Source organism: Homo sapiens, chromosome 17 (assembly GCF_000001405.40).
Source record: "Homo sapiens chromosome 17, GRCh38.p14 Primary Assembly".
NCBI lineage: Eukaryota > Metazoa > Chordata > Mammalia > Primates > Hominidae > Homo > Homo sapiens.
In genome coordinates this window covers 58,580,895-58,595,659 of record NC_000017.11, presented here as the reverse complement: position 1 = coordinate 58,595,659, position 14,765 = coordinate 58,580,895, and the positions used below count along the sequence as shown (strand labels likewise).

Here is a 14,765-nt window from a genome sequence, read left to right as displayed (position 1 = left end):
CATGTCTGGTACCTTGAGCTCCTCCAGGTGGCCTCTCTTTGCACTTGACTTGTCATTCAATAAATAGTCTCACCCAAGCTTCTCTACAGCATAGCAGCTGACTTTGCAAGTGAAAGCTAAAACCACCAGACCTCTTAAAAGTTAGTCCTGACCCTAGGATTGTATCACTTTCGCTGCTTTCTGTTGATCGAAGAAATTCACGAGGCCAGCCCAGATTCACTGGGTGGGGAAATAGACTCTAGCTCCTTATAGGAGGCGTGGCAGGGTGGACAGGAGGGAATTGATGGCGGCCACTGCTGGAAACAATCTACTAGTACATAGGATATAAAACAATGATACCATATTTATTTTTTCCTTAAAAACATCACCCTCTTTTTCTAGCATCAGGGAAAAAGCCATCTCCATCTAAATGCATTTTTCAGACAATTGAAGTTTATTTCTTTAATTTCTTAGTTCTTAAAATTTTAATTATATTGAATGAAAACGTTACAAACTTCATGATATTCTAAATATCTATTTTGATTATATTCTAAACATATTCTAACCTTTTCTTGGTGACAGTGGTATTTTTCTGAACACCTGTTATGGTGAAGCATCATGATATAGGGCTGTCTTAAGCTTCTGCTAAGGAGTGTTTGCCCATACAAAGGCCTCTGGATCTTATACTTCAGGGAGCATGTAGTAATTTTTTGTGCCTCCTTCTCACTTTTACACATCTTGCTCCCATCTCAAACTCCATATTTGTTGCCTTAATTTGCTGTAGGCTAGGAAATATAATTAACTAAGTTTGTTAAAATTATGTTAAAATTGGGATAAGTAGAGCTAATAGTCTCTTGAATAAAGAGCACAGACTTTCATTTGTTTTACTTTTGCTGTTTCCTAAGTATTGTAACCTTTATTGTATTCTGTTTTATTTTCATAGCATCCCCAGTGGTAGGTATTATCATTCTTATTTTATGGATAAGTACAAGGTCTTACTTTATGGATAAGTACAAGATTCTCTTAGTGTCAGGGTGCGGTGTCTCACGCCTGTAATCCCTGTACTTTGGGAGGTCAAGGAGGGTGGATCATTTGAGGTCAGGGGTTCGTGACCAGCCTGGCCAACATGGTGAAACCACGTCTCTACTAGAAATATAAAAAATTAGCTGAGTGGTAGTGGCGCGCACCTGTAATCCCAGCTACTCAGGAGGCTGAGTCATGAGAATCTCTTGAGCCTGGGAATCAGAGGTTGCAGTGAGCCGAGACCAGGCTACTGCACTCCAGTCTGGGCAACAGAGTGAGGCCATCTCAAAAAAAAAAAAAAGAAAAAGATTCTCTTATGTTAGTCTGAATAACACTTAGACTAGAACCCAAGGGCCTTTACTCCTGCCACAAAGATCTGCTGTCTTCATATTCATATAGGAGGGGGAAAATGCTCAGGAAAGTGGATTTTTTTTTTATTTCTATCTTGTCTGCTTATTCTCCACTTGTATCCTGTCTGGGCTAGGTTCCTGGAGACCAACATTTCTGGGTAAAGACCTCCAGATAAGCTGGGCACAGTGGCTCACGCCTGTAATCCCAGCACTTTGGGAGGCCGAGGTGGGTGGATCACAAAGTCAAGATATCGAGACCATCCTGGCCAACATGGTGAAACCCTGTCTCTACTAACAATACAAAAATTAGCTGGGTGTGGTGGTGTGCGCCTGTAGTCCCAGCTACTCGGGAGACTGAGGCAGGAGAATCTCTTGAACCTGAGAGGCGGAGGTTGCAGTGAGCCAGGATCTTGCCACTGCACTCCAGCCTGGTGACAGAGCCAGACTCCGTCTCAAAATAAAAGCAAAACAAAAAAAGACCTCCAGATAAGAGATGGGTTAGCAGATAGGAAACATGCAAAGGAAAATCCTGGTAGGTCTGGTTATTTCTATACATTTAGCAAGAATGGCTTTGAAAATAGTGTGACAGTGAAGAGAGTGGGAATTCTCTCATCAAAGCCCTGAAACATGTTTATTGCTTTTTAAGCTGCCGACTCTTTGTGACCCTGGAAAACAGAACACAGATGAACAATTTCAGTGCACTCAAGGAGCCAAGGACAGTTTGGAAACAAGCAGGATCCAAAATACCAGTAGGTGGGTCAACATTTTGTTGTTCTTAATGTCACTATGCCTTTAGACTTCTGTGTGTCTCTGAGGCCACTCAGTGATCTTCTTATGTCTAGTGACAAAAGGACTGTGAGTGATGAAGAAGAGTAATGCAGATTGGCAGGTTCTCCCACTGAGTGAGTAGGAAGAGCAGTGTCATGGGAACTTGAGGAGACATCAAAGCCCAAGTGGCTGGCAGGTTAATCAGACAGAACTCATCAGTTGTTAGAAGCAAAGCATCTTGCCTTTCCGCAACTGCCCAGATAGTTTTTCTTATAAAAACAAACACCAGGTATTCCATTTACCAGTGCTCCAGAAACTAAACTAATTGGAAACCAGGGTTGTTTAAAGTAAGTGTCACTGACTCCAGAGAGAGTTGAACAACATCACTATGACCCTGGGGTGTGTGATTTCCAGCCAGACGAATGAAATGAATTGACTTTAGCACAAATTACTGGAAGAAGAGTGTGTGTGTGTTTGTATATATGTTCATACACATATATGTATATATAATATATTCATACACATATACGTATATATAATATATTCATACATATATGTATATGTATTCATGCACACATAGGTATATATGTATTCATGCATATATATGCATATACACATATATTCGTGCATGTGTATACATACATACATATATTCATACATACACACACACATGCTGAGTTTTAAAGAACTTAAGTAAAACAGGCCGAGTGTGGTGGGTCACGCCTGTAATCCTAGCACTTTGGGAGGCCAAGGTGGGCGGATCACTTGAGGTCAGGAGTTCGAGAGCAGCCTGGCCAACATGGTGAAACCCCGTCTCTACTAAAAATACATAAATTAGCCGGGCGTGGTGGCGGGCACCTGTAATCCCAGCTACTTGGGAGGTGGAAGCTCAATAATAGCTTGAACAGCTGGGTGCGGTGGCTCACACCTGTAATCCCAGCGCTTTGGGAGGCCAAGGCAGGCAGATCACGAGGTCAGGAGATCGAGACCATCCTGGCTAACATGGTGACACCCCGTCTCTACTAAAAATACAAAAAATTAGCCGGGCGTGGTGGCGGGCGCCTATAGTCCCAGCTACTCGGGAGGCTGAGGCAGGAAAATGGCGTGAACCCAGGAAGCAGAGCTTGCAGTGAGAGGAGATCGCGCCACTGCAGTCCAGCCTGGGCGATAGAGCAAGACTCCGTCTCAAAAAAAAAAAAAAAGAATCACTCGAACCCAGGAGGCAGAAGTTGCAGTGAGCTGAGATGGCACCACTGCACTCCAGCCTTGGCAACAGAGTGAGATTCTGACTCAAAAAAAAAAATTAAATAAATAAAGAACGAACTTAAGTAAAACAAATTTATTTGGTGTGTGGGAATTTTTTTTCAATTTTTAAAAAATTGATTAAAATTTTTTTTGGTTTAAATTTAGTTAGGTATTATAAGTAAGGGAATTACTAAAAGGGCAATAATTTTTTTTTCTTTCTTTTTTTTTTTTGAGATGGAGTTTCACTCTTGTTGCCCAGGCTAGATAGAGTGCAGTGGCGTGATCTCGACTCACTGCAAACTCCACCTCCTGGGTTCAAGCGATCCTCCTGTCTCAGCCTCCTGAGTAGCTGGGATTACAGGTGCCCACCACCATGCCCAGCTAATTTTTTATATTTTTAGTAGAGATGGGGTTTCACCATGTTGGCCAGGCTGGTCTTGAACTCCTGACCTCAGGTCATCCACCCACCTCAGCCTCCCAAAGTACTGGGATTATAGGTGTAAGTCACCACTCCCAGCCAATATATGTTTTTCACGACAGACTAGTATATCAGTTTTAGTTTTTTTTTGTTTTTTTTTTTTCCTGTGGATAAATGGTAGCACTAATCCACAACTTTGAAGTCAGTTCTCCTGGAAAAAAAAACTTTTTATTCCTCGCCCTAGTGGTGATTGAGACTAATGACGAGTTTGCTGTTTGTTTCATGTTGGCAAATATGTATGTAAGGGAAAATGAAGGAAAATGTCCAGACATTTTATTTATTTATTTTTTATATTTTTGAAATGGAGTTTCGCCCTTGTTCCCCAGGCTGGAGTGCAATGGCGCGATATTGGCTCACTGCAACCTCCACCTCCCAGGTTCAAGCGATTCTCCTGCCTCATCCTCCCAAGTAGCTGGGATTACAGACATGCACCACCAGGCCTGGTTAATTTTGTATTTTTTAGTAGAGATGGAGTTTCTCCATGTTGGTCAGGCTGGTCTCAAACTCCTGACCTCAGGTGATCCACCCACCTTGGCCTCCCAAAGTGTTGGGATTACAGGCGTGAGCCACCGCGCCCAGCCAGACATTTTAGATCAGTGGATTTTATTCCTATGAAGGGAATAATGAAGAACTACCTAGCTGGCATCAGAGTGTTTGGCACTCACACCACTGATAGAAGCAAATGGGATGACATAGCCATTAGATGACAAAGAAAAACCCATAGTTGTTGTGGCCTCCCCTGCTCGGCACCCTCTTCCCTCAGAAGTACAAAGAACAGACCAAAAAAAAGTTTGACATTTTTCCACCTGTTCCTCTAGTCTTTTTGTGTGCTTAAAAAAAAAGTGACAATTACGATATGTGTAAGCAATTTTATGTCATGATTTTCACTTTACATTAGAATGTAAACATTACTCTATGTTATTAAAAAAAAAAAACCCTGTAAACTTATTTTGAAATTGTTGGGCTGGGCAAGGTGGCTCCCACCTGTAATCCCAGCACTTTCGGAAGCCAAGACAGGCAGATCACTTGAGCCCAGGAATTGGAGACTACCCTGGGAAACATGGCAAAACACCATCTCTACAAAAAATTAGCCAGGCATGGTGGTGTGCGGCTGTAGACCCACACCCTCTCCTACTTGGGAGGCTGAGGTGGGAGGATCACCTGATCCTGGGGAGGTCAAGGCTGCAGTGCCATGATTATGCCACTGCATTCCAGTTTGGGCGACAGAATAAGACCCTGTCTCAAACAACAACAACAACAACAACAACAACAACAACAACAAAAATAGTTGGATTTCACCTATTGTTGAATTTTAGGTTGCTTCATTCTTTATTCTGTTATGAATAGGGACACAGTTACTTGTAAATAATGCTTTGTTTTTGCATTTTGGATTATTTCCTCAGGATGGATTCTCAGAAGCAGAATTACTTGGTCAAAGGGTTTGAAGATTTTAAGGATTCTTTTCCCCTCCTTTTTAAGACAGGGTCTCGCTCTGTCGCCCAGGCTTCCTTGCAGTGGCGCAATCTCAGTTCATGGTTTTTTTTTTTTTTTTTTTTTGACACAGAGTCTTGCTATGTCGCCAGGCTGGAGTGCAGTGGCGCAAACTCGGCTCACTGCAACCTCCGCCTCCTGGGTTCAAGCGATTCTCCTGTCTCAGACTCCTGAGTAGCTGGGATTACAGGCGTGCACCACCACACCCGGCTAATTTTTGTATTTTTAGTAGAGACAAGATTTCACCATGTTGTCCAGGATGGTCTCCATCTCTTGACTTTGTGATCTGCCCGCCATGGCCTCCCAAAGTGCTGGGATTACAGGCGTGAGCCACCACGCCTGGCCAATCTCAGTTCACTTTATGGGGCCAATGTGTGAGGGTCGCTTGAAGTCTGGGAGTTTGAGACCACGCTGGGCAACAAACATTGTGTGACTTCATCCCTACCAAAAATACAAAAACTAGCTGGCTGTGGTGGCAGGTGCCTGTGGTCCCAGCTACTTGGGAGGCTGAGGTGGGAGGATCGCTGGAGCCTGGGAAGTTGAGCCTGCAGTAATCTGTGATTGTGCCACTGTACTCCAGCCTAGTGACAGAGTCAGACCCTATCTCCAAAAGAATTTTATTTTTTTAAAAAGGAAGCTGATCAGATCTACCCTCTCTGATTCAGCAGTCTCTCTGCTTTCTGGTCCAGCTGGAGAGTAGGGCATTCTAGATAACAGGGAATTCATATCTGTGCCACAGAGCACACACTTTTTTTTTTTTTTTTTTTTGAGACGGAGTCTCGCACTGTTGCCCAAGCTGGAGCGCAGTGGATCTTGGCTCACTGCAACCTCTGCCTCCCGGGTTCAAGAGATTCTCCTGCCTCAGCCTCCCAAGTAGCTGGGATTACAGGCGCCCGCCACCATGCCCAGCTAATTTTTTGTATTTTTAGGAGATACGGGGTTTCACCATGTTGGCCAGGCTGGTCTTGAACTCCTGACCTCATGATTCACCTGCCCCGGTCTCCCAAAGTGCTGGGATTACAGGCATGAACCACTGCACCCAGCCTACACTTTTTTTTCTTTGGAAATAGAGTCTCGCTCTGTCACCCAGGCTGGAGTGCAGTGGTGTGATCTCAGCTCACTGCAACCTCCGCCTCCCGGGTTCAAGCAATTCTCATGCCTCAGCCACCTGAGTAGTTGGTATTACAGGCATGCACCACCATGCCCAGCTAATTTTTTGTTTTTTTAGTATAGAGTTTTCACCATGTTGGCCAGGCTCACCTCAACTCCTGGCCTCCGCCTGCCCTGGCCTCCCAAAGTGCTGGGATTACAGGTGTGAGCTACCGTGCCCAGCCAGTTCATGCGTTTTTGAAAAGTTAATTGAATAGATGATAAAATGTACATGTTCATGAGATATTTATAAACTTTATTTGTTTATTTTTTTTCTGGAGACAGAGTTTCACTATGTTGTACAAGCTGGCCTTGACCTCCTGAGCTCAAGTAATCCTCCTGCCTTAGCCTCCCAAGTAGCTGAGACTACAGACCTGAGCCACCATCCTGGCTAGTTATGGGATATTTAGAGGAAAAAAAGACGCCTTTATGTTGCAAATGAGGAAGCCTTGGCCTAGAGAGATTGATGTTTGCCAAAGTCAGATAGTAACCTAGTGGTAGGTCAGGGTCTAGAATTCAGTGGGACTAGATTGAAGGTCTCTGAATGTTCTTCAGGATCTCTGATGCCTTAAGACTGTTTTTACAAACGTTAGGCCGGGCATGGTGGCTCACACCTGTAATCCTAGCACTTTGGGAGGCCGAGGTGGGTGGATCACTCGAGATAAGGAGTTCAAGACCAGCTTGGGCAACATAATTTTCTACTAAAAATACAAAAACTAGCCGGGCATGGTGGCGTGCATGTGTAATCCCAGCTACTTGGGAAGCTGAGGCATGAGAATTGCTTGAACCCAGGAGGCGGAGGTTGCAGTGAGCTGAGGTCGTACCACTGCACTCCTGGGTGACAGACTGAGACTCTGTCTCAACAACTACAAATGTTATTGTGCTGTCACTGATATGAAGGTGGGCCTGTTACCAGAGAATTCTGATGGACGGGCAGGAGCAGAACCCTCACCTGAACCATCACCTGTGATTTGTGGCATTTGCAGGGGAGGCTCTGCAACAGCCCAGGGATTGTGTCTTGTGAAACTGCGCTTCAACTGCGGGTTTCTTCTACCTCTGAAAATCTCCCAAGAGCACTTTTATAATCATGAAATCTAAACTTAGAAACTAAAAATACTCTTAGAGATCTTATAGCTCAGTCCTTTCATTTCTTAGCCAGGGAAGACCTAGAGAGTCCACTGCCCAAGCCAAAGCCACACAGTTTAATAGTGCACTCTTCACTCTGTCAAGCCACCGGCAGGGACCTTCTGCATCACCCAGCTGTCACTGGGACTCTACCAGGTAAGGATCCTTGTGGGCTGGAAACTGGTGGTGGAGCGGGGGTGGGGGTGGGTTCTGGCACCCTCTGCTGGTGCAAAGGGGTCAGTGCAACTCTAGGAATGGCTTAGGGAGTAGGGAACAGGTCCTCTGGATGGGCTGGTGGGCTTTTGGTTCTGTCAAGAACTTGAGCAAACTGATGTGTTTGTGTCCACCCCGCTCCCCCTACCTCCAAAAAACCCGTGCAATTCAGGATGAGTGTGGAACCTGTTTCTTCTGAAATCTATAATGCAGAGTCCAGAAATAAAGATGATGGAAAGGTACACTTAAAATGGAAAAGTGAGTATAAAGTCATGGGTTTTATTAGACAAAATGAAATTTAAAGTATATTTCTAATGTGGTTGATATTTCTAAGTACACAACCTGTGTTGCACATTTAGAACCATAGCAATGTCCTTCTGAATTTTTTTCTTTTATTATATTTCATTTTAAAAGCAGGGCCCTTCTGACTACAGACTTCAGAAGGGAAATGCTTTTTTTTTAATTTCTAGACTTTATAGGAAATATTTCTAATATATAAATGTATATTGTATAAGAAATGTAACAAAACAGTGCACAATACAATAAGTCCTCACCTTATTCTGTTAATAGGAAATGACAATGACTTTAAGCAAACTACGACTTTAAGCAAAACGATGTATAACAAAACCAATTTTACCATGGGCTAATTGATGTAAGCAAGAGTTAAGTTCCTATAGCATATTTCTGGTCACAAATACATCACCATACTTCTAAATAAAGACCAAGACACTTCTAATATTAAACATTGAAATAAATGTGAGCTATGTACACATTTAAGAGAGATTAATAAAAACAAGTAAGATAAGTAATTACCTGTTTATTCTAGTTCAGGGTCACAGGTGGCTGGAACCTATCCTGGCAACTCAGGGTACAAGGAGGGAACCAGCCCTAGACAGACACCATTCCATTGCAGAGTGTACTCACACACTCCCACTCACACAGACTGGGGCAACTTCAACACACTAGTTCACCTAACGTGCACATATTTAGGATGTGGGAGGAAACCGGACTACCTGGAAAAAACCCATGCAGATGCGGGGAGAACATGCAAGTGCCACACAGACAGTGGCCCCAGCTGGGAATTGATTGTTTTTTTTTTTTCTCATCAGAGTTACAATGAAACAATGTTGAATAAAATGACATTATTTGAGGAACTGCTACATAGATATTTACTATATAACATTATAAAAGTGGAGAGTATGCAGTGTCACTCTCATATCCTGTGGGCATTATTCTTTGTATCAGTTTTCTCTTACAGGCTTAAAGGATATAATGTCTATTTTTAATACTAGTCGTAAGTGACATTAGCAGAAGTGTTTGACAACATTTGAAATGAAAACATGCATATATGTATGCATTCCAAAAATATGAGCTCAGTGTAGTCTGGAAAGACTAGACAAACTCAAATAGAATACTTTCTATTATTACACACTAAGAACTATAGATGTCATTTTTCCTGTTAAAACTTCACAGGAAGAGGGTCTATCTGTAAGTTGTTTGCTGCCTTTCACCCTGGAAGTAAGCAACAAGGGCTGTTGTTTGGGATAACTGACTGAAATTCCCTTCTCTCTCTCTGTCATCAATTCTCCCCTGACCTCCCATTCAAGCCAAACAGGGCAAGCTAAGGATGATGCAACTGTAAAAAGGCAATTGTTACACTATGAGTTATAATAGTATTATGTATTTCTTTTAGATGAAAGCCTGTGTTTCCAGTGTTTACAGTGATGTTTTAAATGCTGCTTTCTCTTATGCACAGTGGAGGTGAAAGAAATGGCAAAGAAAGCAGCTACTGGACAGCTCACAGTACCTCCTTGGCATCCTCAGAGTAGTCTGACTTTAGAGAGCGAGGCTGAAAATGAGCCCGACGCCCTGCTGCAGCCCCCCATTAGGAGCCCAGAAAACACGGATTGGCAGCGAGTTATTGAGTATCATAGGGAAAATGATGAGCCCAGAGGAAATGGCAAGTTTGACAAGACGGGCAACAATGACTGTGACAGTGACCAGCATGGCAGACAGCCCAGGCTTGGAAGCTTCACCAGTAAGTTCACTTGCGGGAATCAGGATAGGTGAACTCAATCAAGTATCAGTCGGGCGAGGTGGCTCAGCCTGTAATTCCAGCACTTTGGGAGGTGAGGCGAGCGGATCACCTGAGCCCAGGAATTTGGGACCAGCCTGGTCAACATGATGAAACCTGGTCTCTACAAAAAAAAAAAAAAAAAAAAAAAAAACATTAGCTGGGCGTGGTGGCACACGCCTCTAGTTCCAGGTACCCAGGAGGCTGAGGTGGGAGGATCACTTGGACCTGAGAGGTGGAGGTTGCAGTGAGCTGTGATCATGAAACTGCACTCCAGCTTGGGTGACAGTGAGACCCTGTCTCAAAATAAAAATAAAAGTAAAAAAAAGTTATCAGCTCTCAAAAAAGTAAACTTTCCAGCATATTTTTTTTGGTTTGGTCCTCTCTCCTTTCCTACTTTTCTGGAAACCTTGAATTCCAGGGGAAGACAGTATAGCCCTATATCTCATTGCATTTCCCACAGGCAAACAGATCCAGACACTGATCAGTTTTTATATTACTGAAACAGGTCCCTTTGTCCAAAGGAAGTAAAATAATCAAATACTGACCCTGGTTTTGGCGAGGAATCGATCCTTCTTTACCTGGGGATAGAGGTAGGCCATCACTGCCTACTGCCCATGTCTCTGCATTGTATTCTAAGCTGAAATTAAATTCTCCCAGAATTTATTTAGAATGTATTCTAAGCTGGCATTAAATTTTTCCAGAGAGTCTATGCTGGAGGAACCTAGAGACACATGACATTTATTGTCATCGGTTTATAGATTTACAGGTTAAAAAAAATGAAGGCTGTATATTTTCAGTTGATAATTTGCTTATAATCAGGGCATGGATATTGTTTCACAGTTGTTTATAAGTTAAAGAAAGATACATCTAAACTTGTCATTTGTCTTAGGCAGAAAATCTATTGGCTTGGGTATTATTTGTATTTAGAATCTGTTTCTTGTCAAGCATCACTCTCGAATGGGTGGGCAGATGATCCAGGGCTGCATTTTGGGGTCAGGCTAAACTAACAGTCTCTACTCTCTGGACTGAACCTAACGTATGGGACATGGCCACTCTTGGCAGAATATGTATACATCTCTTCTTTCATGCCACCTTTATCCTCTTCCATGTTGTCTGAATATCACTGAATGACTTTGACCCTGACTGTGTTACAATCATTAGGTATCAGGCACCCATCTCCCAGACAAAAGGAGCAACCAGAGCATAGTGAAGCCTTCCAAGCAAGTTCTGACACATTGGTGGCTGTAGAGAAATCTTACAGTGTAAGTAATACTGCCTGGAAAGCCAAGTTGAACCCAAAGATCTAATAAGATAGAACTGAGTTATTGTTATGTGTTATGACACCAAAATAATAGCTATAGTAGTTCTTTTTGGCTGGAGCATGTGCCTTCATGTCACTGACATGAATAAAATAATCTTTCCTCCTGTCTGATACTTTTTAAAAAGTCAGTTCAACTCAATGAATTGTGTATCCTGGAGATTGGGAGAGTACAGAAAAGTGTCAGATTCAGCTTTGGCACATGAGTTTCTGGCATAGTTTGCTAAACAAAACTAGGGCAAAGCTCCTTCCCCAGCAGGCGACTGAGGTCAGTTAGGAGTAGGAAAAGCAAGGGCAGGGTTGCTATGAGAGTATCTTCACCTGGAATATCCTCTAAGGGCCAAACTCAGCACCCAGCTCAGTGGAAGTGATGTGTTTGTGCCTGACAACTGCACCTCAGCAGGATCTATATGCGTTTCCACTGCAGTTACAGCCTTGCTTCAGGGCTTTAACACACTCTAGGCCATAGCGCAGCCAGACTAAGAAACCAAAATTTTTTTATTGTCATTGACATGGGATTGCAATCATTTAAAGAATATAGACAGCAATTGAGAATGATACAATATATGAATACAATAGTGATAAAATGTAAGGTCTTTTGACCTATTGTATTTAATCATGGCATATGAACCATTCATAAGATCAACTTATTCTTTCTCGGACTTGAGGGCTGGAAGAACAGTCATATTAACCATACTGGCTGAGCTGGAGAAGCAGGCCTAGGCAGGAAAGTGGGGAATGTCTGCCGGAGGCCAGGACGAATTCAGTTTGATGAGAGGTAAAGAGGAGCAGCTGTTAAGTGCACAGGAAGGGAAGTGTGTGGCAAAAAGCAGTGTCCGAGGAAATTAGTCACAAAATCTCTGCCAAGAGATCACTGAAGGTTGGGTGTAGTGGCTCACACCTATAATTCCAGTACATTGGGAGGCTGAAGCTGGAGGATCGCTTAAAGCCAGGAGTTCAAGACCAGGCTGGGCACCATAGTATGACCCTGCCTACAAAAAAATGTAAAAATCAGCTGAGTGCAGTGGCTCACTCCTGTAATCCCAGCCCTTTGGGAGGCCAAGGTGGGCAGATTGCTTGAGTCCAGGAGTTTGAGACCAGCCTTGGCAACATGGCAAGACCCCATCTCTACAAAAGATACAAAAGTTAGCTGGATATGCTGCATGCCTCTAGTCCCAGCTACTTGGGAGGCTGAAGTGGGAGGATCACCTGAGTCTGGGGAGGTTGAGGCTGCAGTGAGCCATGATCAGGCCACTGCACTCCAGCCTGGGGGACAGAGTGAGACCCTGTCTAAAAAAAATAAAAATTAGTCAGGCATGATAGTGTGCACCTGTAGTCTCAGCTATTCGGGAGGCTGAGGCAGGAGGATCGCTTGAGCCCAGCAGTTCAAGGCTGCAGTGAGCTGTCATTGCGCCACTGTACTCTAGCCTGGGTGGACTGAATGAAACCATGTCTCAAAAAAAAAAAAAAAAAGACTGAAGTGAGCCATTTGTTTGGCCACATAGTAATCAGGTCCTGAATATTGTGAAATAAGCAGGAAAAAAGGGGTGGAGCAGAGATGCTAAAGAAATAAATTTGCAGGCCGGTCGCGGTGGCTCACACCTATAATCCCAGCACTTTGGGAGGCCGAGGTGGGAGGATCACTTGAGGTCAGGAGTTTGAGACCAGCCATGCCAACATGGTGAAACCCCATCTCTACTAAAAATACAAAAAGTAGACAGGTGTGGTGGCACACACCTGTGATCCCAGCTACTTGGGAAGCTGAGGCAGGAGAATCACTGGGACCCCAGAGGCGGAGGCTGCAGTGAGCCGAGATCATGCCACTGCACGCCAGCCTGGGTGACAGAGGAAGACTCTGTCTCAAAAAAAAAAAAAAAGAAATTTGCAGGCCGGGTGTGGTGGCTCATGTCTGTAATCCCAGCACTTTGGGAGGCAGAGGCAGGCAGATCACGAAGTCAGGAGTTCAAGACCAGTTTGGCCACCATAGTGAAACCCCTCTCTACTAAAAATACAAAAATTAGCTGGGCATGGTGGCACATGCCTATAGTCCCAGCTACTCAGGAGGCTGAGGCAGGAGAATCACTTGAACCTGGGAGGTGGAGGTTGCAGTGAGCCAAGATCGCACCTCTGCACTCCAGTCTGAGTGACAGAGAGAGACTCTGTCTCAGAAAAATAAATAAGTAAATATAAATTTGCTGCTTTTTACTATTTTATTTTTATTATTGAGACTACATTGCTGTTTTTAAAATGCTTCTTCATTTGCCTTTAACCTATAATACTCAAGGGACTCACAGGTTCTGAGTAGCCGCAGCCTCCTCATCTGTAAGATGATGCCAACACATGGGCTATGTCTCTGCCTGTGAGGGATTAGTGTGTTTAAATTCAGTCCTCAACTTGAGTTGACTAGGGCCTTTCTCCTTATTTAGAATATTAGAATAGGACGGTCACCTCATCTCCACCCATTCTGCAGATGATGATGCTGAGGCTCAGGATTAGCATTCCTTCATGCTATTCCAGTCAGTTAACAGCTGCTTTTCCCCACCAGGAAGGGAAGGCAGAGGCACATGCACAAAGAGGTAGGGAGAGTCAGCTCAGTGTCACACTGACTGCTGGGTAGTGTTAGATAACCCCGTTGTTAACACTGCATCCAACTATAAAGGGATTTCGTTACAATGAACAGCAACTTAAAAGTGATTTCCTACATTATTAATAGCATCAGTCCATGCAATCAACTTGTTCACCAGAGTCTTCTGAGGATATAACAGATGAATTTTTAACTCCAGACGGTGAATATTTTTACTCCTCGACTGCTCAAGAAAACTTAGCTCTAGAGGTAAAAAACGCAGTTCAGGGTAAAGTACCTTTTCACCTTTCTCCATTGCCTTATTTCTTTTATTGAGAAAAATAGCTTACATATCAAAGTATGTAATGTCTACCAGGATTTTTTATACCTTTTTTGGTGTCAGGAGTGTGATATGAACCCATGCATTCATACGTGTTTTGAAAAACATCTGAAAATTTTTTTATTTTTGAGGATGGGAAGTCATGTGCAGTTTCTCCCAAAATTGTGGTTACTGCATTTATACAGCACTTTGTACTTTTTTTTCAAAACTTTTTTTTTTTTTTAATTTTTGAGATAGAGTCTCGCTCTGTCACCCAGGCTGGAGTGCAGTGGTGTGATCTCGGCTCACCGCATCCTCTGCCTCCCGGGTTCAAGCGATTCTCCTGCCTCAGCCTCCTGAGTAGCTGGAATTACAGGCGTGTGCCATCACACCCAGCTAATTTTTGTATTTTTAGTAGAGATGGGGTTTCACCATGTTGGTCGGGCTGGTCTCAAACTCCTGAACTCGTGATCCGCCCGCCTCGGCCTCCCAAAATGCTGGGATTACAGGCGTGAGCCACCATGCCTGGCTCAAAATGTTTTTATTCATGCTACTTAATTCATACTTCCTAATGGGAAAGGACAAGGCTATCATTCCTCTCTCTGAGGAAGACTGGTGTTCTGCAGATATACGGAATTAATTAACTCCAGCCTGCCAAGTTTTAGTG

The 14,765-nt window shown here is 43.5% G+C and overlaps 1 protein-coding gene across 3 annotated transcripts in view, besides 2 other annotated features; it reads left to right on the top strand.

Moving 5' to 3' along the window:
• Window positions 1-14,765, top strand: part of TEX14 (testis expressed 14, intercellular bridge forming factor) — a 135,368-nt gene that overhangs the window by 96,386 nt on the left and 24,217 nt on the right. For 2 of the 3 annotated variants that reach the window (NM_198393.4, NM_001201457.2), the window contains exons 15-20: window positions 1,999-2,105; window positions 7,639-7,764; window positions 7,994-8,079; window positions 9,578-9,859; window positions 11,060-11,160; window positions 13,930-14,049. In NM_198393.4, the coding sequence (NP_938207.2) occupies window positions 1,999-2,105; window positions 7,639-7,764; window positions 7,994-8,079; window positions 9,578-9,859; window positions 11,060-11,160; window positions 13,930-14,049 (822 nt within the window). The remainder of the gene's footprint in view (window positions 1-1,998; window positions 2,106-7,638; window positions 7,765-7,993; window positions 8,080-9,577; window positions 9,860-11,059; window positions 11,161-13,929; window positions 14,050-14,765) is intronic. The other variant, NM_031272.5, reaches the window with a different exon arrangement.
• Window positions 98-147: a silencer, noted in NCBI's record as "silent region_8774". NCBI's record gives its function as "represses an Ori minimal core promoter by ATAC-STARR-seq in GM12878 lymphoblastoid cells {active_cell/tissue: GM12878}" and the evidence as "EXISTENCE:reporter gene assay evidence [ECO:0000049][PMID:35858748]".
• Window positions 7,767-7,856: a silencer, noted in NCBI's record as "silent region_8773". NCBI's record gives its function as "represses an Ori minimal core promoter by ATAC-STARR-seq in GM12878 lymphoblastoid cells {active_cell/tissue: GM12878}" and the evidence as "EXISTENCE:reporter gene assay evidence [ECO:0000049][PMID:35858748]".